The 26537-nt window shown below is 38.5% G+C and overlaps 1 protein-coding gene and 1 non-coding gene across 2 annotated transcripts in view; both read right to left on the bottom strand.

Annotated features, from left to right (window-relative positions):
* The window catches only part of HS6ST3 (heparan sulfate 6-O-sulfotransferase 3), a 749456-nt gene that overhangs the window by 394787 nt on the left and 328132 nt on the right, over positions 1 to 26537 (bottom strand). The gene's annotated exons all lie outside the window — the stretch shown is intronic.
* MIR4501 (microRNA 4501) lies at positions 17484 to 17547 on the bottom strand. The gene has a single exon (NR_039723.1). It is a non-coding gene; the product is annotated as a microRNA 4501 (primary transcript).

Below are 26537 nucleotides of genomic sequence, written 5' to 3'. Positions count from 1 at the left end.
AATAGCATAGTAACAATACCTGTTTTATATACCACGTAATTGTATTCTTTATCATGTTCAAGTCCTTTTATTGCTCATAAAAAGGTGAACCCTACTAAATATATTCCTACATAAGAAACCCTATCATTTTGTATCATATTGAATCCAGAAAGCATAGCATAAAATATTGTTTATGCACAATCCCATTGGTGTTCCAATACAAAAATAAAAATTTTAAGATCCTAGCATTAAGAAATTAAGACTGATTAAATTATTAGGCTGTTTGCTATACTCAAATTTTATTCAACTTATAGAAACAAGACTAAGACCTCACTGTTTAAGTAAATGTTAATTAACATGTAATGTGCATTAGTGGGAAATCATCATAATGAAATTTCCCTTTTGTTCCCACATCAGGGTCCATTCCAAAATACCCAGTTAGTGCCTTAAAACCTACATGCCATGTGAAATAGACTATTACTCCTGGTCATTCCCAAGAAGCCATAAGGTCTTACTGTGTCACACTGTATGGTGCTTCCCTTTATATAACACAGCCCCATGTGCCTGCCACATTTGAGAATTTCTTTTTAATTTTTTATCAAAGTTTTTTATCATGCCCATGATTTAAAAGAAAGTAGTCCAGAAGGATCTATAATAAAAGAAGAGTTGCCTGCTTCACACTCTATACTTTTCTCCACCGGTCCTCATCCCTGCCATCTCTCAGCTTTTCTTGGCTGTTATGGAAAGGTGTAATATGGAAATAATAATAATGTAAATAGTTCATAGTGAAGGTTAAGTGAATTTGTGTATGTGAATATGTACAGCAGTATCAGGATTGTGGTTCATACTATGTAAGTGCAATCTGTGATGATTAATTTTCCAGTATCAGGACCGACAATATCAAGACCTAGGACACAGTATCTGCCCCATAACTAGAACTAAGTCTTTTTCTACAGGTTGATTCCAAAAGCTGAAAATGAATAACAAGTACTTACTTTGCCATAACTACAGGGAAACCATTTACTTCTCCATTCAAACAACAAATATTTACCAGGTAACTATGCAGGTTCAGACACTCTTCTACATGCTGGCAATAGAGTGGTATACAAGGCCAACATAGTGCTTACTTTCTATTAATGAAGAAACAATAAATAAGTGAATAGATAATAATGCCATTTTAAATAGAAATTTGTGTTATGATTCCCTTTTTTAAATAGTGATCAAAATTAGGCTACATTTTAGTCTGCTTTTTTTTTTTTTTTTTTTTGAGACGGAGTCTCGCTCTGTCCCCCAGGCTGGAGTGCAGTGGCGTGATCTCGGCTCACTGCAAGCTCTGCCTCCCGGGTTCATGCCATTCTCCTGCCTGAGCCTCCCGAGTAGCTGGGACTACAGGCACTTGCCACCATGCCCGGCTAATTTTTTGTAATTTTAGTAGAGCCAGGGTTTCACCATGTTAGCCAGGATGGTCTCAATCTCCTGACCTTGTGATCCGCCCGCCTCAGCCTCCCAAAGTGCTGGGATTACAGGCGTGAGCCACCGCACCCGGCCTAGTCTGCTTTTTTAAAATGATTTTACATTTATAAAAATGTAAAATTTTTTTACAAAAAAAATCATTTTTCAAATTTTACATTTTAAATGATTTTACATTTTAGCCTGCTTTTTAAAATTTGTGTTATGATTCCTTTTATAAATATTGATCAAAATTAGGCTACATTTTAGTCTGCTATTTTAAATGATGTTTTCTTGTATATTTTTCCTTTCTCTGTCTTTGTTGGGAGAATTATCCATTTTTTACCTAATATTGCTCAATTTCTTCTTCATTCTTTCTATGGATTGAAATTTTTTCCATTTTCTTAAAGTTGACCAGTCTCCTAATGTAATTTAGGATATTCATGCGCGGACCAAGATTTTTCTTGTAAAGCTGTTTGTTATTCCTAGAATTTCAGTGGGTTTTTTGGTTTGTTTTTTCCTTAAGTTCGATTCCTTTATCATGTTCTCAGACTTTTTTTTTTTTTTTTACTTCCAATTGTACTTTTTATCATATTGAACTCATTGTTTTCCCAGAACCCTACTTCCTGAAGTCTTCTCTTCTTCTCTCCCATCTGGTCTCCCTAGGTGTGCTACAGAAATGTCATCCTGCAGTTTTGCTTCTCCCTTGGATGCATGGCTATTTGAAGCTCATAACTTCATTTTTTAAATTCTCATCCTCATTTTTTCTGCTATCCATGTTCAAGTAATTTCCTAAGAAAGAGTGCATAACTGAAAATGACTTTATTCTGGTTTCCTGATTGATAATTTACCAGGACATCGAATTCTTGGCTGAGAATTCTTTCAGAGATGGAAGTCAGTGTTCAATTGCTTTCTAGGATCCAGTGTGCTGATGCACAGTCAGAGAAAATGTGGATCTTTTTTTTTCTCTTAGTTAATAAGTTTAATTCTCTTCATTTAACCTTTGTGTCCTAAAGATTCAAAATGATATTTTCAGCCACGGGCAGTGGCTCATGCTTGGAATCCCAGCACTTTGGGAAGCCAAGATGGATGGATTACCTGAGCTCAGGAGTTCAAGACCAGTCTGGGCAACATGGTGAAACTCCGTCTTTACAAAAAATTAGTTGGGTATGGTTGTGCACACCTGTCGTCCCAGCCACTTGGGAGGCTGAGGTGGGAGGATCACCTGAACACGGGAGGTCAAGGCTGCAACGAGCCATGGTCACTTCACTGCACTTCAGCCTGGGAGACAGAGTAAGACTCTGTCTGAAAAAAAAAAAAAACTATATTATCATTCTGATCAGCCCACTGTCTTTTCAATGTGAGAATTTGTGACAATTTTTAACTCTGGAAAATTTTCCTATATGATTACAAATTTATTTCCATTGATTTTTTTCACTTATTAATTTCTAGAATTCCTACCAGTTGAACATTGAACATTTATAGATTGATTTCTGTGTCTTATCTTTTTCTCTTGTTTCTGTTTTCTTGTCTTTTTATGCTATATTCTCACAGCTATCTTAAAAATTTAACTTCCAAATCTTCTAATGTATTTTGTATATCAATAGTAATATTTTTACCTTTAGAAGCTCTTCTTTATTCCCTGATTATTCACTTTTACAGCATCATGCTCTGTTTTATGGATGTAATATCTCACATCTCTCTGAGGAGGCCAATTATAACTTTTTTATTTTCTGCACTTTCTGAACTCTGAATCACCTGCTTCCTTTAAGATTAGTTTTTTCCATGTTTTTGTAGCTCTTTCTCTGTAATGCTGAAGACTTTCATCAGCTGTCTTGGGCTTCTTTGCAGTGTTCATTCATAATAATAATTGTGTCTCTGTGTTCATGGGTGAGGCTTGTCAAAAGGCCAATTCGACTTTAGGGTGAGCCAGTGAGGAGCCGTCATTGTGCCAATGGCTCCTCAAGTACTGCTAGGTGGAGAGTTTTGCTCTGTGGAACCATCCCTGCCATTCATTTTCTTGATGCTCCCCAGTCCCCTACTCATCAAAAAAAAAAAAGTATATTCAAATTTTTTCAAGTCTTTATCTTAGTTTGGGCCACTGTAATAGAATACCATATACTGGGAGGCTTCAAAACAACAAGCATTTATTTGTCACAGTTCTAGAGGCTGGAAATCTAAGATCAGGGTGCCAGCATGGTCAGGTGCTTGGTGAAGGCCCTCTTCCTGGTTTACAGACAGCAGTCTTCATGTTGAATCTGCATATGGTGGAGGGAGAGCCAGCTAGCTCTCTGGCCTCATTTTATAAGGCTGCTAATCCCAATAGGGCTCCACCTTCATGACCTAATCATCCTCCAAAGTTCCCACCTCCAAATACCATCCCATGGGGTTAGGGTTTCAACATAAGAATTGGAAGAGACAGAAACATTCAGTCCATTGCAGTCCTCCGTCTATTTCTTAAATCAACTTAGCAATAAATGCTGGAGAAAAGGTAGGGGGTAAAGGGATTAATTATTCCTCTGCATTTCTCACTGTCAACCATTTTTTTTATAGTCTCAAGACTATTTCTTATAGTCTTGCTGGGATTCCTTAAGTCAAACCACTGTAGTCTCTGCTGTTCTGAATAGTTATCAATACTCTTCCATTTTATATCATCCAAAAATTTCTAGAACCCCATTGTCCATGCATAGCCCCCCTCCCCTTCTCTTCACTTTTATGTGATGATACCAGTTTTATTTCTTCAGTGTGGTATTAATAAATTCTCAAGAATAAGAGGAGATAAAAGCATATGCAAGCCATCTTAAACTAAGAAAACCCTCTTTTCCTTTCCTTTCCTTTCCTTTCCTTTCCTTTCTCCTCTCCCCTCCCCTCCCCTCCCCTCCCCTTTCCTTTCTTTTCTTTTTTCACAGAATCTCTCTCGGTCACCCAGACTGGAGTGCAGTGGCACAACCTCGACTCACTGCAATCTCCTCCTCCTGGGTTCAAGCGATTCTCATGCCTCAGCCACCCAAGTAGCTGGGACTAAGGTGTGCGCCACTATGCCTGGCTAATTTTTATATTTTTAGTAGAGATGTGGTTTCACCATGTTGGCTAGTCTGGTGTCGAACTCCTGACCTCAAGTGATCTGTCTTACTTGGTCTCCCAAAGTGCTGGGATTATAGGCGTGAGCCACCGCATCCAGCCAACCCTCTTTGTTTCTATACTAGGGAAAATTAACTTCAAGTTTAGCCTTAACAGCAAACAAACAAACAAACATACACACACATATAAATAGGCAAGATCTACCCAAAGAATACTTACTGGTATAAATGGAGCATATCACTCTATCAACATATCAGTAAATAAGCCCCAGGCCTTTTAGAAATGGTGCCAATTCACCATACTTAGAAGAGAGTTCTATTTCTGTCTGGTTTTGTCTACCCATCTAAAGCAAAAGAGAAAATTGACCAGTGACTACCCAAAATTACCCAGACTGCCTGACTTGAGTTTATCACATAATTAGAATCCTCTCGTATTCAGAATCTTCTATTCACAATCTTCTATTCTTGTTTTGGCAGCTAAAACTCTGGTTAACCACACAACCCTAGCCTCTAGACATGTACTGCGTTAGCACTAACAGTCACATTCACACCTATTCTGAGTCAGACATCATTCCAAACATTTAACATATCTTAATTCTGTCAATTCTCACACAACCCTACAGAGGCAGGATTCTTATTATTCACAGTTTACAGGAAACTGAGGCACAGGTAGGAAGAGCAATTTGCCCATGGTCACACAGCTGCTAAGTGCCAGAGCCATGAAATAAACGACACACAACCAGGTTCCAGAATCTGTATTCTCACCCTCTACACATGCTGTCTCCTCGCTGTGATTTACAATTAATTTATTTGAATTGCTTTGAACAAACCACTAAACATATGTCCCTTGGAATTACAGTTAGCATTTTATTTCTACGTGACAAACGGAACCATCTTGCTATAATTTAAGAGATTACCACAGCCAGTCTAAAATTACTATCTTACATTTTTATACTTTTAGAAATACACATATCATCTGGATGGATCTTAACAGCTTTCAATGGTGTTATTGTATGTTTCTAATAGATAAAGAGGACCAGGACCAACTGATGATAGAGCTAGAACTAGAACCATAGTGTTCTGCTTCCTATTCCACTGTTCTTTCCACTAAAAAATGTGGCCCACACTCAAATATAAGATCTAATAGATGATCTCTAGCGGCCACATATAACCATCTTTTTTTTTCTTTTTTTTTTCTTTTGAGACAGATTCTTGCTCTATCGCCCAGGCTGGAGTGCAGTGGCACAATCTTGGTTCACTGCAGCCTCTGCCTCCTGAGTTCAAGCGAGTCTCCTGCCTCAGCCCCTTGAGTAGTTGGAATACAGGTACCAGCCACCATGCCCAACTAATTTTTTTGTATTTTTAGTACAGATGGGTTTTCCCCATGTTGGCTAGGCTGGTCTCAAACTCCTGGCCTTAAGTGATCCATCCACTTCGGCCTCCCACAATGCCAGGATTACAGGCATGAGCCACTGTGCCCAGCCATAACCATAATATTTTAAATCAGAAAAGATCTCAGAATTCTGGACTACCTGGCCTTGTAGACAATTTCTCACGACATTTAAGAAGTTTCATTAGAGTCATCTACAGGCATTATTGGTCAGGAACAATCAATTGTGAGGTCTCTGAGTAAACTCAGTACATTTTGACTGAAGTGGTAGTCACAGTAAGCCAACTCCTCTGCCTCAGAAATGTGAACAACAATGAAATGCCCCAAGTAGCTATTCTGTGATGAGCTACAGTGGATCAAATAAGAGCCAAGTAGAGAGAGACAGAACACCAGACTAGAAATTAGGAGCTCTGGATATGGCTTCTGGTTCCAACCCTAACCTTGTGTGTGATCTTGAATAAGTCATTGCACCCTTCTGGACCTTATCTGTAAAATAAGAATTTCACATAAGAGTATGCAGTATGATGAAACACTATGTCAGAATCTAAGATTTTCATCAGAATATGGTTAAAATTTGTGCATGTAATACACCTTCAAATGCTCTTGTTTTATATACCAAACATGAAGAAGAAAGGACATCAAATTATTACACAGTGAATAGTGTGTATTAAGACACAAGAACCAGTCTGAACTGAAAATAGACATCAGTCCCTGGACACAGTGGTGTTTATATTGAATGAATGAACCAGTGGCAAGAAATATATACGTTTAGAGCAGTGAAACTCTTAAAGATGAATGTTGCTGACATTTGTAAAGAGTAAGAAGTCATGACATCATAATAGAATGTCCCCCAGCGAGTTCACTGTTAAGAGCGTTACTCCTTCCTAATACAGGTTGGAGATTTCCAATAACATTTGTCTGTGCCTCTGACTGTCAAAGGAATTTATTGTGCATTTACACAAGCAAGAAAGAAAAATTAGAAAAGAGACCAATCCTCATACTTTTTAACATGAAGAGTATCCCCAGTTGGGTTACTGAGAAAACGAAATTCCCCTAAAATAATTTAAGTGCCTTTTCATCAGATGTATTGAACTGTCAATAGCAGTTCTGTTTTCCCTAGCATGTTATGAACTGACTACAGCAAGGAAGATACTGAATAAGCAAAGGCAATGCCTCAATCTGAAATAATAATCTACCTTTGTATTCAAATGTCCCCCTCATTTCTGAAAACAGACATTGATAGTTCCCATCAGCTCTGTTTCTGATCCCTTGTTTTTACCCCATATCATCATGAAGAATAAGTCATCAGATTCTCTGAATTTAATTCAAGAATTAAGCATCCTCATGTGTTCAGTGGTACACTAGCCCTGCTGGGAGAAAGATGTGGCAGAAAGGTGGGGAGGAGACTGGAAATGAGAAAGAAGTGATAGTATTTTCCTTGCCTTCAGAAAATGTAAAATCTTCAAAGCAAATAAGACTCAAAGAAGACAAACATTGAAGAGCCTGAATAATGAAACAAAGTAGCTGATGATACTCAGCAATTAGTATCATGAGCAACAAGGGACTGAGAATGACTAAGAAAGACATCAGTGCAGAATGGGTGGCCAGGGAGATCTCCTGGAAGGAGAGAAAATTAACAAGGTCATGCTGGAGAATGGGCCTGATCTGGATGTGCATGAAGAACAGGGAGGCATCTTGAGTTGGTAAATGCAGAACTCAAAGATCAAAACTTAGAGGAGTTTAGCATAGGAACAAAGAGAAAACAGACCACATGGTGACTTGTGTTATGTGAGGAACACACAACATATTTGGTAGCTACTACAGCCTTCTAGAACATTGTCCTAAAATATGCTCCCCCATTGAATTTGTGAGGAAAGCCAGAAGGGTTAAAAGAACAATAGAAAAAAAAAATGGAGGCCCTTTTTCTGCCTTTAATGCCCTCCACCTAGAACTTTACCAATAAATGTATTTGAATGTTCACTTTTGCTACAGGGGTTATATTAGTTTGCTAGGGCTGCCATAACAAAAATACCATGGACTGGGTGGCTTAAACAACAGAAATTTATTGTCTTACAGTTTTGAAGGCTGGAAGTCTAAGAACAAGGTGCCAGCCCATACAGTTCTTGGTGAGGGCTCTTCTTCTGGCTTGCAGACAGCCACCTTCTTGCTATGTCCTCACATGGCCTTTTCTCTTTGAATGCGCAAACCTTGTATCCTTTTTATATGATGAAATTTCTTCTTCTTATAAGGACACTAGTCAGGTTGGATTAGGACTCACCCTGATGGCCTTACTCTAATTTAATTGCATCTTCAAAGACTCTGTCTCCAAATACAGTCATATTTTGAGGTACTGGGGGTTAGGGCTTCAACATATGAGGTTGGGAGAAGGAAACAATTTGACCAATAACATCGGTGTGTTTGGTTTTTAATCATCAAGGAAATGTCAGTGGTAACTGTGTACAGTACTGTGAAGAAAGCATGATACCATTGACATATTTGTGAATATGAAATTCAACTTTTAAAATATGGATTTATACAAAGGTACAGATAAATACATTCCAATGTAAATAGTTAAACTCCAAAATTTTGCAAGACTGGGGAGTTACAAATTTAGACCAGGCAATGATAATGCTGACCTTTGATTTCTCCTCTATAGGACTGATGAAATGTCTCAATAGATAAATTTGGTGAAAAGACTTTTTCTTAAAACAAATGACTGTTTCCAAGTAAAACATAGGGCAGAGTGATGTAGGAGACACAGCCATGAGTGCTTGGGCATTCTAACTTCCAATTCCTTGCAGAAAAAGAGACACCCAAAGAGAACAACAAAGAGAAGAAGGGGAATTAGGAAAGAGCAAGATCTTCTTTCCAAGAAAGAGAATGCAGCTAAGAGTTCAGATAAATAAAGCCTGAGACGACTACGTGACATGGCACTTGGGAGCTACTCATGATCTTCAGAAAAGCAATGTTACTATAGTTGAGATCATTAAAGACAGATTTCATTGTTTGAAAGTCAATGGGAAATGAAGTACAAAGAATTTGTGATTCTTTTCTAAAGTCTGATAAAAAAAAAAGGAGTGATAACTTAGGGAAAAACTATACAGAAGTTTTGTTTTTATTTTTGTTTGCTTGTTTAAAGATCACACTAGAGTTTGTTAACAGGTTGAGGGAAAGGACCCTACTTAGAAGTAAGGTTAAAGAATCAAGGGAATGAGGGAATTCTCCATCTATTCACTTAACCAATATGCGAGGGCTTCCTAGTACTATGCTTGTCGCTCCCCTTCCTCGGGAGACTTACAGATTAGTTGGGATACAGATAATGGCCCTAAGTTATTTGTTTTAATGGTAATATGTCCAAAGGCACAGAATAAATGGGGAAAGGAGCACCTAAGTGTCCAGTGGGATCTGGAAAGGCCTCACAAAGGAGGAAGGTTGGCACTGAGGCTGGCCAGATGGGTATGTCAGGCTAACAAACTGAAGACACATTTCATGGAGAAGAGTCCAGTCAAAATCAGTCATGAAAAAAATACATACAGACTCCATAAAGGAGTACACCTTGGAAGGGAATGAAGACACTTCTATCTTGGAAAGGAAGGAAAAAAGAAAACATGGAAAAAATATGTCAAGTTCTGAGAATAAATGAAGGAACGATGAGGAGAATTTCTATCTGAGGCTTCCATTTTCAAAACTGTCTTTGAAACCACATGAGCTGTTGGTCAAATTTAACCACTGCAATTAGAATTTTCACTTTTAAAATTTCCAGAGTGCTTCAAGGAATTTTTTAGCACTGAATATTGTCACCCTCAGGAAAAGAGAAAATAAGATGGACTGGGGTTGAGGATAGGTAGTAGGATTGCAAATTTACTCAGAGAGAAAGGAAAAAAAAAATTAAAGTTAGGCAGACAAAAATGGTTTTGTCCATTAAGACAAACAACTCCATTATAGGGGCAACCAGTATTATTTGATCAAGAAAGAAGGCATCCAATCTAGAATTCTTTCAGTAAGCCTTTTTTATAATTTATAATTAATCAAGGGATTAATAATCTTGCAGGAGGATAAAAAATGAACAAAAGTATTAGTGTACAGATCAGAAAATGATGATAATATAAAGAATGTTTAGTTGTCATAAAAGCAATCAAGATAAAGATAATCTCATCTAGGTATGAGACCACCCAGAAAAGCTCAGGAAGAAGGGTGGGCAGCTTGGGGAGAGAAGCCTGGATCTTGGCAGAGCTTGTGAGGTCAAGGCCTGGTAAGAGAAGAGCCAGGGCACCAGCACCAAGAAAGGGCTGTAATAAAGACCTCTCTGAAATACGTCCTGGTGCCCTTCAGAGCTGGTCTCCAACTTTGGGTGAACCTGAACTGTATTTGGAGGCCAATCAGTTGTACAGGTAAAGGGCAAGGGGCCTGCAGGGAGCCATTTGGCTAGACAACTAAGCCCAGGGCCAAGGCAGCCATCAGTCAAGGAAGGAAGGGAATTGGGTTACCACTGTGATAATTAGCATTGATGAACAGCAAAATAAGAAGAAAATATCCTGGAGAGTGTGTTATACCCCAGGTTAATATTATAGTAGCAAGATAAGAAGAAAAATCCTAGGGGCATAATACACCACAAGTTAATATTATAATACTAATACTGCAACCTGGGGGTATACTATCAGTCTGTGAGGGCTGCCATAACAAAGGCTGAACAACTAAAACAACAAAAATCTATAATATTTTTCACAATTTGGAGGCTAAAAGTCTGACATCAAGATATGGAGTAGGCAGGGTGATTTCTTCTGAGCCCTCCACATGACTTGCAGACTGCTATCTTCTTCCTGTTTCTTCTCATGGTCTTAACTCTCTACACCCTTGTATTAGTCTGTTCTCATGCTGCATAAAGACATACCCAAGACTGGGCAGTTTATAAAGAAAAGAAGTTTTGTTTTTGTTTTTGTTTCTGACAGAGTTTCACTCTTGTCACCCAGGCTGGAGTGCAATGGCATGACCTCGGCTCACTGCAGCCTCCGCCTCCAGGATTCAAGTGATTCTCCTGTCTCAGCCTCCCAAGTAGTTGGTATTACACGTGCCTGCCACCAAGCCTGGCTAATTTTTGTATTTTTAGTAAAGATGGGGTTTCACCATGTTGGCCAGGCCAGTCTCGAATTCCGGACCTCAGGTGATCCTCCAACTTCAACCTCTCAAAGTGCTAAAATTACAGGTGTGAGCCACCGCACCCAGCCAGGAAAGAGGTTTAATAGACTCACAGTTCCACATGGCTGGGGAAGCCTCACAATCATGGCGGAAGGTGAAGGAGAAGCAAAGGCACATCTTACACAGTCACAGGTAAAAGAGCATGTGCAGAAGAACTCTCATTTAGTGCAGGAGAACTCTCATTTATAAAATCATCAGATGTCCTGAAACTTATTCACTACCATAAGAACAGTATAGGGGAAACCAACCCCAGGATTCAATTATCTCCACCTGACCTTACCCTTGACACATGGAGATTATTACAATTCAAGGTGAGATTTGGGTGGGGACACAGCCAAACCATATCAATTCCTGTATTCAAATTTTCTCTTCTTATAGGGATACCTGTCTTTTTTGGATTAGGGCTCACCCCAATGACCTCATTCAAACTTAACTACCTCTATCTTCTCCCCTGCCTAAAGAAGCCACCTTGCTCAGCTGAGGGACTAGAACAACCTTGTTATTGACTGTTTCTTATCAGAACCGAGAATTTTATTATCATTCAATTATTAGATCTCAGACAAAAAACAAAGAACACAGAGTGAGAGAAAAACAATTTTTTAAAAGAACAAATTTGGTTTATGACTTTAGCTAGTATTCCCAGCTTCATTTTTCTTACTATTTATTAGCCAAATAGGCCTGCCCAGGATTTAAAGTCAAAGATGAGAGGGAAAATTACCATGCACTCTTCTCTTATGACTTTCAATATTTTAAAAAGAGCTTAAAGACCTTTTATTTTATACATTTGCCAGTAATTGTCTTTATGGTTTTATTGGTACTAATTTCATGCAGCTCATTTAGAATGTCAAGCCACATATGCAACATGATAATAAAGTTATTATTACTTCATAGAGATATAATTATAAGTAATTTTGATTCTCTCATTTTCATCCTCTCACTTTCTCCTCATTCCTGCCCATGTTTTATAAGAATGAAGATGAGTTTGCTGACCTTTTGCTAAGGAACATTTAGTATAAGAAGGTGTCAACTTCATCCTGATTGAGGCCTGTGAAACTTTTATTTTCTAGCTCCATTAGCTTTTTCAGAGTAAGTCTGGTTATTATATTACTGCATTAAAAATAAACTTCTAAATTCAGAGAAGAATACAAATGCCACAAAACAGTAAATAACTCCAGTGATATGGGACCCCTTTTGGCCAATGAACCAAGTTTCAATAAAATGTTTGTGGCCTTTATTAACAATATACTAGAAAAGATATCTTTTAAAAGAAAAGAACAATGGGATAAGAGAATTAAAATTTCTCATTATTTAGTAAAGATCTGATGACATACACCATTAAATATAACACTATAAAGTTTCTCAGTATTAGGAAAGCAATGTAAAATGTATAGTAAATGTAATCTGTACCACTGAGGTAATTTGCATATTTCTACAGGGGTCATTAGCCATAGTTTTGAAGGGCTTTCTGAAACTATTAATTTCTACATAAGAGAGCACCTTAGCTGGTCCAAGTTAGGGATAAGGTATCACTTTGGCAAATATTTTAGTTCCAAAAGTAAAGGAAAAAGGGCAAAAAGAAATGGAAGTTTCCATTTCCATACTTTGTTCTGGGAAGGGGCCAGAATAACACCCACTTCTGGTTGGAGAGATTTGAACCTGAAATCGTAAAAGCAGGAGAGGACCACTCATTTCAAAGATTGTGCTATGAGGGAATGAAATGGAGTAAGCAGAATGTACCTTTAGTGCTGACCATGCTTTGTTCTGGAAAAGACACAGGTATAGACCACTGAGTTATGACTATATAAAACAAATAACCGATTGTACAGTGGAAAGTTTGAAGAGCTGGGGCTTTGAGGAACTAAGTTGCCCTACAAGAGATGATCTATGTCGTAGGCAAACGTTGCATCACTGAGCACAGACGTCTAATTGGACAAATAGTGATTGCCAACCATCGCTTGTTCTTGTGGGCAACTATTTGTTTTATTCAAGCTGTCTGCTCAGGTAAGCAGAGCCCAAGAGCATAAAGAAGGTGGAAGATCTTTGAAAAGGAGCTGGACTAGCTTGACAGAGCCCAATCTGGACTGTCCAGCAGAAGTCTAACACATGGCATTATGTAAAAATGAAATTCACAGATGCTAAAAAATGTCTCAATTAAAGGGCCTATCCTTTGTTTTTGTAATTCAGAAGAAGAAGATGTGAGGGAGAGGTTTAGTAACGGGCCTTGGGAGGGAAAGGTTAAAACCACACCCCTGTGGTGGAAAGCAAGATCTGAAGGGATTGGACATTCCCACTGTCAATCACTCTGGAGAGACTGACAATGAGATTTGGAGGAGGGAACGAAAGAGGAAAGAGAAAAGCCCTTTCCCTCTCTTCATGTTGTTTTCTTTAATTTCCTTTTTCTGTTTGGTTTTGGTTTTGGTTTATTTGTTGTTGTTGTTGTTGTTGTTGTTGTTGTTTGTTTGTTTGTTTTTTGTTTTAGAGACAAGGTCTCACTCTGTCTCCCAGGCTGGAGCGCAGTGGAGCAATCTCGGCTCACTGCAAACTCCAAATCCTAGGCTCAAGTAATCCTCCTGCCTCAGCCTCCTGCATAGCTAGGGCTACAGGCACGTACCACCACACCCTGCTATACTGTTTTCTGGAGATGGGCCTCTTGTTATGCTGCCCAGGCTGGTCTCAAACTCCTGTCCTCAAGCGAATCCCGCACCTTGGCCCCAGGGTACCTGGGCCTATAGACATGAGCCACTGCACCAAGCTAAATGTTGTTTTCTTAGGCCTGGACCCAAAGAATCTATCTCAAGAGGCAGACATAAGTGGAGAGAAAATGTGCCTCTGAAACATGGAAATAGGAGGACACTGGCAAAAGAGTCCCTGTGGTCAAGTGGGGCTACCATGACACAGGTGAGCAGAGCAGCAGCTTCCGAAGGGAGTGGCTGAATTGACCTTCACCTTTGAGGAAACCGGCACTAGTGGTCAATGGGAAGTTGGCCTCAGGGGAGCCCTTACTCTGGGCCATTTTGGAACTCAGACTGTAGGGAATGGCTGGAAGTCCAGGTGGTAAAGAGAAGAGCAGGGCCTTCTGAGACTAGCACAGAGGGCAGTGGTACAACAACAGGAACCCAGGGGCCAACTTAGACACTTGGGATAGAGGCTTGGTTCATGGCAACAATGAGGGCCTCACCCCAGGAGAGCTCGAGGTCAGCTCTCTGAAGCGGAATGGAGGGCCAGACAGTGCCCAGGGTAGCATCATAAGTTCATGGAGACACCGTCCTGGAAAGGTATTAGATAATGTAGGTAACCCTGAAGAATCTAGGAGGGAGGGCGTTCACCTACTACAGTTTGCCAGACAAAGACAGCCAATTTTGAATATGACTGCTAAATGTGACATCATTTGTATTCCCCAAACTGGTGAAACCTACGAGATGTAGGCATTACACTTAAAATAAATAACTCCAATGAAGCCAGAAATTAGGTTCATTTTAATTTCATAGATAGAAAATCGAAAGACTGTGGATTTCCTCAAACTAAAAAAGGGTAATACCCCAAATTAGAACTCAAAGCCTGTAGCATCCACAGCTATGCTAAGACGCTAGCTGCAATGTTGTCTCAGAGGATGAACACACAGCAAGTACATTAAATCAAATTGTGAAAGCATAGTGATCAGCGTCAATTTAGATTCTATGAATGAGCCCCTATATTTTATCATGCCTTTCTGTCAGGGTTTATTATTTGTTAAGGGGTTTAAATCTACAATAGAAAAATATTTCTGTAAAATCCAGTAACACACAGTGGCTAACCATAGCTGAATTTTATAAACTACAATTTGTCAAATAATTCATGCTTTTTCCCAAACACAAGAGCCTGCATTATTCTGACAACAAAAAAAGAGTTTTCCTACTCCCTATAATTTTCTATCGAACCTACAGACTATCTGCTTTACCTGAATTCTTAGAGGGTTAGGAATTTAAGCTTAAAAACCACTTTGTGTTAGGAAATGTAAAGTCTTACAGCTAAAGGGCTGAAAATATAATTTCTCTGGACTTCAAATAACACCACATATACACCAGCTCAGGTTGAGCAAAGAACACTGTACTCTTTAGACATGTCTAGGGAATGAACTTATACAGGGAAGAAAGTAGCTGTCGATCAAACTAACAATTATTGTGCAGCAAGCTCTGTTCTAAATCTTCTAAATTTACATTAGTAAATCTACCAAAATTACATATAGTAGCTCAGTTAACTCCCCCAAAAATGAGACTGTTAGTGTTTTCACGAGGGCTAAGTTCTTTGTCTAAGATCATGTAGTGGAATAGTAACTTGGTATTTAAAACAGATATATCTAACTTCAATCCAATGTTCATTTTATAATATCACGCTGCTTCTATAGGTAACCTTTCGGTATTTAACCACTGTTTCTATCAGGAAATTTTTATTCTATTCTAATCTGAGCCTCATTCATTGTCACTTAAGCCTGTTTAATTAAAAGCTGTTCTTGTAAAGTTTCGAAACAGCTGGTCACTGTCCTTGGTTTAACAGCTCATGCACATACAGTACTCAAAGATAATTAAATCCCCCATCAGCAATTTCTTCTTTTGGCTGAATAAGCCCTTTTCAATGTTTCTTTGAAAAAAATTTCTGTGCCTTTAAATATCTTGCAACATCACCATAGCACGTTGAGTTTTACAGCTGTAATATGGGCACGTGATTTTCTTATAGTCATTTATAACTACAAGGACCATTCCTACCCATCCCCATCGTGTTCTTCCACCATATTCTATTTACTGCTTAAGCAGCTTGGTTCTCCCATTGAGCATTTTTGTCCTCATCGAGCTTCATTATGTTTGCTGTGATGGTTTTCTCCACTTTGCCAAGAAGCTGCTTCTATTTCTAAGGAGCACTGCAGAGCACTTGCATTCCTGGTTAAATCTTTTGCCTGTTCTATTTCAGTCTATGTTCTTACTTGATAAGCACCTGGAATGGGCTGAATTGCCACCCCCAAATTCATATATTGAAGTCCTATCTCCTTGTACCTGACATTATTTGAAGATTGGGTCTTTAAAGAGGTAACTAGATTAAATGAGGTCATTGGGGTGGGCCCTAATCCAATGACTGGTGTCCTTTTGAGAAGAGGAGGTTAGGACACAGACACACACACAGAAGGTAAGACTATATAAAGACACCATGAGAAGATGGACATTTACAAGCCAAGGAGAGAGACCACAAAAGAAACCAACCCTGCTGACACCCTGATTTCAGACCTCCAGTCTCCAGAACTCTGAGAAAATAAGATTTTATTTATTAAACCACCCAGTCCGTGATACTTTTTTTGTTTGTTTTTTGAGACGGAGTCTCGCTCTGTCGCCCAGGCTGGAGTGCAGTGGTGCGGTCTAAGCTCACTGCACCTCCGACTCCCTGTCAAGCGATTCTTCTGCCTCAGCCTCCTGAGTAGCTGGGACTACAGGTATGTGCCACCATGCCCGGCTAATTTTTTTTGTATTTTTAGTAGAGATGGGGTTTCATCATGTAAGCCAGGACAGTCTTGATCTCCTGAACTGGTGATCTGCCCACCACATCTGTGATACTTTCTATGGCAGCCTTATCAAACTAATATAGCACCCTCAAATGTGTCTCATATCCCTAACTATTATTAATTATGTAAAGAACCCCACAGATACCAACATCATGTACCCCTCATATTGAAAAGGGTACATTACTTCTATGGTATTGTTGCCAAAAATGCCTAAACTCAATCTGTCCATGAGTAGGCATCAGATAATCCCAAATTGTGAGGTATTCTAGAACACAACTGATCAGTACTCTCAAAGTGTCAAGGTCAAGAAAGCAAGACAAGTCCAAGAATTGCCACAGATTGTAGGAGTCAAAGGAAACATAAAAACTAAATGCAATGTGGGATCCTGGATTCGATCCTGGAACAGACAAAGGATCTTTATGGAGCTCTGGTGAAATAATAGCATTGTACCAATGTAGATTTCTCAGTTCTAATAAAGGTCCTATAATTATGCAAGATGTTAAATATTAGGGAAAGCTGAATAAAGGATATACAAAAACTCTCAGTTCTATCTTTGTAATGTTTTTGTAATGCTAAATTTATTTCAAAATTAAAATAATATATCATAATATAAATAATGTATTATAAAAGTAATATGTACTATGACTAATAATATAAAAATCAAATAACAAAATAAATGAACTAATAAAACACCACCAGTGGAGAAAAATCACATATTTTCATCATTGTGAAGTCTTCCCTGAAATAAACTCTATATTAAAAAAGGAGGGGAGAAAGAAGCTAACCTTCATTGAGATCTACTGATACTGAGTATTTGACAGGTACTATCTTATTTAATCCTCACAATAGCACTATCACTTATAAAATGTGACATCTGATGAAACAGAAGCTCAGACATATTTCAGTGATTCATCCGAGGTCACATAACAAGTGATAGACTGGAATTCAGACCCAGCTCCATTTAATTCCAATGCACCATGTTTGTTCTCCTGGTTAAGTATGAATTTCTATGTCCCCACCAACTATACTTTCACCTAAGTATATCCGTTCTAACTATGGATTTCATTCTTAGCCAAATATTGGAATCACCTGGGAAGCTTTAAAAATTCCTGAGGCTCAAATCCTACCCCCAATTCTGCTGTAATTATTTCAAGATTTGATTGGACCTCAGAATTTTTACATTATCCCCAGATATTTCATATGTGTAGAGAACAACTCTACTAGTTTATCAATGTTAATGTTATACAGAACAGAACTAAAACCCTTGCAAAAGATAGGCAGTCATATTTATCATTTATTCAGGAGTAAGCATGTATCACCAAAATCAATTAAGTTCAACTTGTGCAACATACTATTTAAGGAAACAAGCAAAAGAAATTCTTTAAAAGACACATGGAGAACAGGGACCAACTTCAGAAGAGCTCTCATCAGCTAACTGCATAGAGCACCAGGAACACAGAAGCAGTTGACTCCAGAGATAAATCTCAAAACCCTTTCAATAAAGAGAAGAAAGTAGCAATCATTTTACTAAAAAAAGTCAAATGACTTACTGTCTCGGATTTTAATTTCCTCTAGTCCCTTTAAAATGGCAAAGGGAAACCATCAAGCTATGTAAGACTCTAATTGAAAATAAACATTTTCCTACTTTTGAGTGGAATTAAAGCTGGGAAAAACTGAATTGCTTCAAGGTGAGGAATGAAACAGAAAGAAACATCAAGAAAGCTGCAATGAGAGTATTTGGAAACCATTCTGTTTGCTGAATTGTCAGCCATGCAAGCACTTATAGACAATTACAACCTTAGAAAACAAATAAAAAGTGTGTAAGTAGGCACTTTGATGCTTCCTCCTAATTATAGGCTTTACGAGCTGGATTCAAAAAACACAAATAGAGGCAGTGCGAACAATATAACCCTGAAATGAGGTTATGAAGCTTATTAGCTTTACATAATTACACAGCTGTGACAGGTTGACGAGACCCCTGCCTGAAGCAGGGGTCTTACAGCAAGGTGGCCATTTTTTTTTTAATTTTACCCTTTTTAAAAATACAATTTAGGTTGAATCATGGACTAACCAATATTTGACCTACACAAGTGGCTATTTCCTATTTTGTGTTTCCATATGAAGATCTCCTTCATCTCTCTGGGGGTTCTCGGGGGGCACTGACTTGTTTTTCTCTATCCTTTGAAACATCCACAGCACCAAGCAGACGTGTGTGAATAACAGAGCATGCTCAGTAAGGGCTTGTGCAATAAATGAAAGAAATTCACCTACCTATAGGGAAAAGCTGTGTTTCCTAATATTTAACCTATTGAAAAGCCCTGGAAGCCACCATTTGTGATATGTATCTCCCCCCAAAAAATCATTCTGGTAATTGGCCTGGACACCAAATTGTACCTGCAATTCAGCTGACGGTCTGGGGTTAGTAGAGAATGGTTATTTACTGTCCCGCCTGAGGTGTCTGTGCAGGGCTATGGGAAGGAGTAGGGTTAGGGGTCTCTCGCTGTATTTGCACACACATATACACATACACACACACACACAGAAGGTTTACAATGAACTATTTTGCATATCTATGATTTAAAGATGCAAATATTGATTTTTCATTTTTTTACAAATAAGAAAGGAAACTCAGGAAAACAAGAGCAATTTATAAGAACGACATGAAACTAATATTTAGTTGACTAAAATTTTTAGTAATGAAGCCTGTGTATGAACTTCTTTGTTGCATAAACATTTTATCTTTGAAAAGCCAAATATGGACTTGGCAGATATTCTCATATATGCCAAAGAGAGATTTCTTTAGGACATTTAATTCAAAAAAAAAGAGCAGAGCTCTTCAAGGCTTTAGGCAGCAAACTGCAGGATATAATAATAAAAGCTCACATGTATTTATTCCTTGCTATGCTTCTGTGCTAGCACTTTAAACATTTTAGCTATCTAATCCTCACAATGATCTAAGAGGCTGGTGCCATGCTTATTCCCATTTGACAGAGAAGAGGCTTCGACAGGTCATTTGCCTTTAGTTACATGCATATAGAAGGCAGAAGGTGGGCTCTCACCCAGGTAGGTAGTCTCTCACTAGGGCCGGTAGTCATACTTACCCCTCTCCTGACAGATAGATCATATCAGCAAACCACAACTTCTCCCTCTTTATCCCCCCAAAAATCTGCTACAATATTCATCCACAATAATATTCCAGAATTACACATCCCATTTTGTACATTATTTTGATGTGTATAGTAGGTTAGTGGCACCTATCTTGAATATTGCTCAATGGAAAAAAATGAGGGCCACCAATCTTATATACCAGCATGAATTATGTTTATTTTATTATGTGATCAATGGATTGAATGTTTATGTCCCCTCCAAATTCATACATTAATTCCTAATGTGCAGTGTAATGGTATTTGAAGATAATCAGGTCACGAGGGCAGATCCCTCATGAATGGGACCGGTGCCCTTATAAAAGAGGCTGGAGAAAACTCCCTCACCCCTTTTGCCGTCTAAGGACCCAGAAAAAGTCACCATCTACGAACCAGGAAGTGGGCTGTTAGCAGACATTGAACCTATCAGCACCTCCATCTTGGACTTCCCAGCCTCCCAAACTGTGAGAAATAAATTTCTATCATTTGTATGCTATCCAGTTGATGGTATTTTGTTACAGCAACTCAAAGGGACTAAGATGTCACTTCAGGGTTTATTGTAAATTCATTATGTAAAAGGATGTTTGTCAAAAACAAATCGTGTGCCCATTTAATGTGTATAATATTTCTAAATGAAATACTAGCAAATGACATCAGGCTTTATATTTTAAATTTATGTAATTGTGTTTTGTGTTTGGAAACTGATTCATTGAAATCATTTACAGGTATAATGATTCAATAGGAATTGGCTGGACTTAAGTTTCATTAAAATAAAAGTGAATATGAATGAAGACATCTTCATTTTGATTGGAAATATTCCATGCTTTTGGAATTCGTTTGTTTGGTGATGTCAACTGTGGCAAAAAAAACTTATCTCTAATAAATATGGTCATTGTAATTGGATTTCATATTACTGAACTAGCTAGAGAAAGATGATGCTTTATGGGAAACACACACTTGTAATATGAATATGAATAGTCCCTTAGGTAGTTTTGAATCCAGTCTTTATGAAGTGTAAAATTGGAATAACAGGCTTAGAATATTTAATGCATGTGGATAATTTGGATTGTTGCAGCCAAGATACAATCGCATGTTTGGGGAATGAAACAAGTTGGAAACCCACAGGTCGTGCTATGCAGTCACCTAGAATACGGCAGTGACCTCATAATTGACCTTACTTCCATGTTCATCACCCCTTCTAGTCTATTCTCGACACAGTATCCAGACTGATCCCTCTAAAACCTACGTTAGAGGAAGTGTACCATCACAGGGAGAATAAGACAGAAATCCTTACAGTGGCCAGCAAAGTACAGCCTCCATTCTGCTCCAGCCACACTGGCCTCCTGGCTGGTTCTCAAACTTGTGGGGCGGGCTCCTTCCACAGAGACTTTGCACCTACTCTTCCTTCTGCTTGGAATGCTCTTCCTGAAAAAATCGAAATGGCTGGCACTCATTTTTTCCAGGTACCCAAATGTCACCTCTTCAGAGGTCTTGACTGTCCACCCCATATCAGACAGTCACCCTCACTCCACCGGACCCCAGCACACTCTCCAGCCAATCTACTCACTTTATTATTTTTCACCGTGCTTGTTACTACCTGACAGCATCCACTTTTATTTTGTCATCTCCTGTCTTCTCCACTAAAAAACAAGATCACCAAGGAAAGAAACTTTTTTTGGACCCAGGACCCAAGACCCAGAACAGTCCTAGGCACATCATGGGAATTCTCTAAATATGTTTGGAATGAATGCATGAAACTGAGTAACTGAGTGAAAGCTCATGAATGAATGGGCATTTTGATTTAAAGTAAAATACCCGAATTAGAATGAAGAGGGGACCCTCATTCTTAAGGAGAAAAGAGTTTGTAGCTTCATGGATTCTGTCTGGATGACTACTTTCCAAAAACCTGGAAAACCTTGGTAGAAATATATGAGCTCCTGAAAAATAAGAAAAAAAAGGCTTTGTATGTGTTCTATTCCCCATTGATGATTTTAATTTCAATTATATATTTATTTCATTTTAGTGCTCTTACCATAAAATATTTAGGTTTCCTTCAATGTCCATATTTAAAAGTATATTACTTGTGATGTTTTGATAGTATTACATAAGCTAAGTGGTAGGACTTGATGCTTAAGAAAGCAAGTCAAAAGGAGAAAACTTATTTTAAAAGTAAAAGATAAATGGGAGAATCTATTTTTTATTATTGCCTTTGGCTAGTTTCTTGATTCCTTCCTATCCAGTGCTTGGTTACCTTGCATTTAATTCCACAAGTATACACATACCTCATTTACAGGAGAGGAGTGGGGAATGATGGGTGAATGGGTGCATTCCTACAAACAGGAGCTCTAACAGAATTAGTTCTAATGCAATTCACATGACATGAAGTCATCAAATTATCATGCCCATGGAGACCTATCACATAGTGGCAATTGCTCCTTCATCCTTCTCAAAATCTCTTGAAATTCTGACACACCTTCTGCAATATTTCTTCCAGACATCATTCTTAACTGTTGAACACCCTGCCCAGTCTGTTGTGATACATATGTGCCATGCCTTGTGTCAAGGATCTTCTACCAAGTCCTAGTTTCCTGATAAATATTGTCCTCTATTTTCTAGAACACCTCTTGGAGAACTCTGAAGCTGCTATAAAACTCACATTGCAACATCAAAAGGATTCTCCTGTTTTGCAGAAATGCTCACCAAAATATAAAATATATGACAAAAGAGAGGCCACTGAAGACCAAACTACACGTGTTGCAGAACCCACTCAACTCAGAATAGCTCAGTGGCTCACTGCCTGAGAGTTTGCAATGCGATGTGCTAAGCAGTCTGGCCAGGACAGACTGCCATCGCTCTTACTGGCTGAGAGTGCATGACAAAAAGTATATCTTAACACTGTGCTGTAATTTTGTTTTAATTACAAAAAGACTTCTAAGATAAATAGTGTTAAAATGAATCAGTGTTATTCAGGGAAGCATGAAACGTGCAATATATTCAGAAGGAGGTGATAATTATTTCATGAATGATAAAACAAATTATGTAAAGATATGAAAAAGCTGAATTGTGGAGAAAATGAGCCAAGGCATGAAAACATGCATTCTTTCAATAAACATTTACTTATCTACATGCCAAATATCTAAATTTATAAACTGGACATGTAAAGATGAAAAGACAGTGTTCTTGACCTCAAAGAGCTCACAGTGTAGCATGGAAAATAGATATGCAAACAAACAATATGTGTACTGTTTTACCAGAGTCGTTTTCAAAATACTATGGAAACATGGAGACGGAAGGCATTCAATTCTTCTTGGTGAGTTAGGAACACCTTTACTAGTGATTACTAAGAAAGAACCTCAGAGATGAATGCAGGTCATAGGGCAAATCAAGCACACAGGGCCTCTAGGCAGAAGCAACACCATGAGCCAAGGTGAGAAGAAAAATGGCACATTCAGGTGACTACATGTCATTTGAGTATTGCAGAGGTCAGATCATAAAAGACCTACCTACCATGCTCAGGAGGAGCTTGGTTTTTACCTTGAGTAAAATGAAAGTTATTGAAATATTCTAAGTAAGTGAATATTATAATCAGATTTGCAATGTAACTTCAGCAGATTGTAAAGCACTGCAGATCTTTTCCCTCCCCTGAAGATTTGGGGCATTGACAATAACTAAATTTCTCCACAGGAAGAGAGGAAGTCATTAATGAATTGGTGACAAAACAATTTACGAATCTCTCTTCTTTTTTAACTGTGGTACTAAAGATAATCCTATTTTTACAGTGAACTATACAAAGGGACTTTTTGTGCAACAGCCCAAAGATATTTTAATAATTCAATGATAAATATTGAATATTTATCATTTGTTAATATTGATGTTAACATTTGTTATTAGCTTTAATATGCAACTCTGATTTCTACCTGTAAGTAACCTCCAGAGGAGGCATCATAACTGGGGTCTCATATTGGTCAGGAACTCTCAATAAAGCATCACAGGGAGTAAATTATTTGTGGCTGCATTTTCATAAGAGTAGAAGAAAAACAAAGGTTCAACTGCATGAAAGGTGGTAATGGAGTAGGAAAAAAGGTCAAACTGGAGCTAAGAAAACCATGTTTAGAAGACATTCTCATTCACTAACCACGTGAACTCAGCAAATGGTTCACACTTTCTTTATTTCACTCCATTCAGGCAATGTAAAAATAACTATACTATTCCTTGTCTATGCAGAAATGTTTCAAAACCAAATGAAATCATGCTTATAAGTAAAACGCACCAAATATCCATTGATACAGCATTTGTGGTCTAGAGGTTGAGGAACTGCTCATCATATCAATGCACATAACAGAAAATGATGTAAAAAGGACAAACATGGTCACTATGATGATGAAGCAGTTATAAACTTGATACTAGTACATATATGACCATCAATTATCGGCTATGTTTCAATATTTAAAATGTGTATTTGTTGCTCTAAAGTTAGATATTCCCCCAAGTATTCACCAAACTAGCAAAATAAGCAAAATAAATTTTTCAAATAAAAATTCCTCATCCACCGAGTCTAAGTGATATGTTATAGTACATTCAGCAAGTATATCATGAATCTGACAAAGAAACAGGACCACATAAAGGATGTGGGGAGAGTGAGGAGAATAAAGAAGAGGAGGATGCATAAAGATCTCCAGAAAAGCAGGCATAACACAGGAGCCCTTCCAAACACAAACATTTGACTTTTTTTCTTCAAAGATGTACCGTAATCCCCTCATATAAACCCGGGTACTCACCAGGGACTCCCAGCACTCTTTCCCCCTGCCCAGCCAGAATGAAGCTGGTTAGAACACAAAGTGTCAGCACAGGCAGATACCAAGTGAGTTGTTTGCTGCTGTTGACTGGAAAACTTAAGGAAAACCTGCAGCAGGAAGGGAAGCAGTCCAAAGGAAACCTAAGCTATAACTATGAGGTTGTACCCCAAACTTATATACAGGATTTTTATGAATGATAGCATAACTCTTTCATTATGGGGTTAAATTGTGTCCCCTCAAAAGACATGAGGAAGCCCTATCCCTTAGTACTTGTGAATATGGCCTTATTTGGAAATAGAGTCTTTGCAGGTGCAATCAATTTAAGATGAGATCATTGGAGTGGGCCCTAAAGCAACAAAACTGGTGTCCTTATAGGAAGAGGGAAATGCCATGTGGACACAAACACGAGGAGAAGACGACTATGCGTGATGGAGGCAGAGACTGGAGTGATGCATCCACAGCCAAAGAAGGCCAAAGACTGCCAGCAAAACACCAGAAGCTAGAAGAGTAAAGGAAAGCTTCTCACTACATGTTTTAGAGGGAGCATGGCCTATGACACCTTGACTTTGGACTTCTAGCCTCCAGAACTATAGACAATAAACTGTTGTTTTAGGCCACCCAGTTTGTGGTACTTTGTTATGGCAGCCCTTGAAAACAAAACAAATATACTCTTTTATACAAATTTATCTGCCTACCTCTCTATCTATCCATCCATCTATCTACCTCCATTTATCTATCTATCATCAAAACATCATGCCAAACAGACCTGATGCCTTTGCAAATACCACATATCATAACCCATCTTTTCTCTGTCTAGGCTCAATCAGATGCAAAATGGTCACATTTTCTCTTTTGTTTTGTTCTATAAAAGGCCATTCTACTTCCCCCCTACACTTTTATGCAGCTTCAGTATTAAGGTCTCTTCCTGTGGCAGAGTCTTGAAGGATGGTTTCACATTAAAACGGAAAAGGAACTCATAATTAGTGATTTACATTTGTTGACTAATTACATTTTAACTGAAAAGCATTCACACTAAATTGTTACATCTGAATATTTTTATGATCTTTTCCTTGCCTCTATAATTACAGAATGAAAGGCTCTTCTCCACAATAAAGGCATTTTAGGCATCCGCCTATTCAATTGACACTAGAAAAAAAGTCTGACTTAGAATCTGTAAAAAGCCTCAAGACAGTTAATCAATCAAGAAGGCATTTATCGGGGCGTTTCATGCCCCTGGTGCTGAGCTTTAGACTTCCAAAGATGCAGACATGGGTCAGATCCCTCCTGCCTTGAAAGGACAGCCAGTTGGCTGAGAAGGGTTTGATCTTGAGGAAGCTAAGGCCGGCAGGTTTCTGAAGCGTGGAATGACCCAGTGAAGCCTGGAGTTAGAGTCGAGAAGCAAGAACCTGGCACAAAACAGAGAGCGTGGCCCTGTTACCACCTGGTAGAGCTCAGACAGCTTGTTTTCTTGTTTTTGCACACTGTTACTGCCGGCCTCCTCTCTTCCAACATTTCCTCTCCAGCTCAGTATTTGCAGCACCTGGGACATGGCCAGTTACAAGGCATGGTGGCTGATTGAAGCATTAAACCATTTGCATCTCTTATAGCACCTACCAGGTTATAGGCAGAAAAGGAAGAAAGAGGAGGTCAGATTGCTGAGCTACCACTTAAGGAGACAGGGCTTATCTTGCTTCCCTGCCTGGAGCCAAAAATGCCATTTCCAGGCTTTGGATTGCAACTCATCCAAAGATAAAGCTCAGAACTCACTGAGCAAGACAGAAGGCACAATTTAACATATATCATATATACAGTCAATCCTCAATTTGCAGATTTTGTATCTGCAAAATCGCCTACTTGCTAAAATCGTTCATAATGCCAAAGCCAATATTCAGAGAACTTTTGCGGTCATTCATACTGCATGTTCAATGTGGCAAATAATTTGAGCTATTCCCAACGGAGGTGGAACAAGGCTACTCT

This window comes from Homo sapiens, chromosome 13 (assembly GCF_000001405.40).
Source record: "Homo sapiens chromosome 13, GRCh38.p14 Primary Assembly".
NCBI classification, from domain to species: Eukaryota; Metazoa; Chordata; class Mammalia; order Primates; family Hominidae; genus Homo; species Homo sapiens.
Note: the sequence above shows the minus strand (reverse complement) of the source record. Positions and strands in the feature narration are given on the sequence as shown.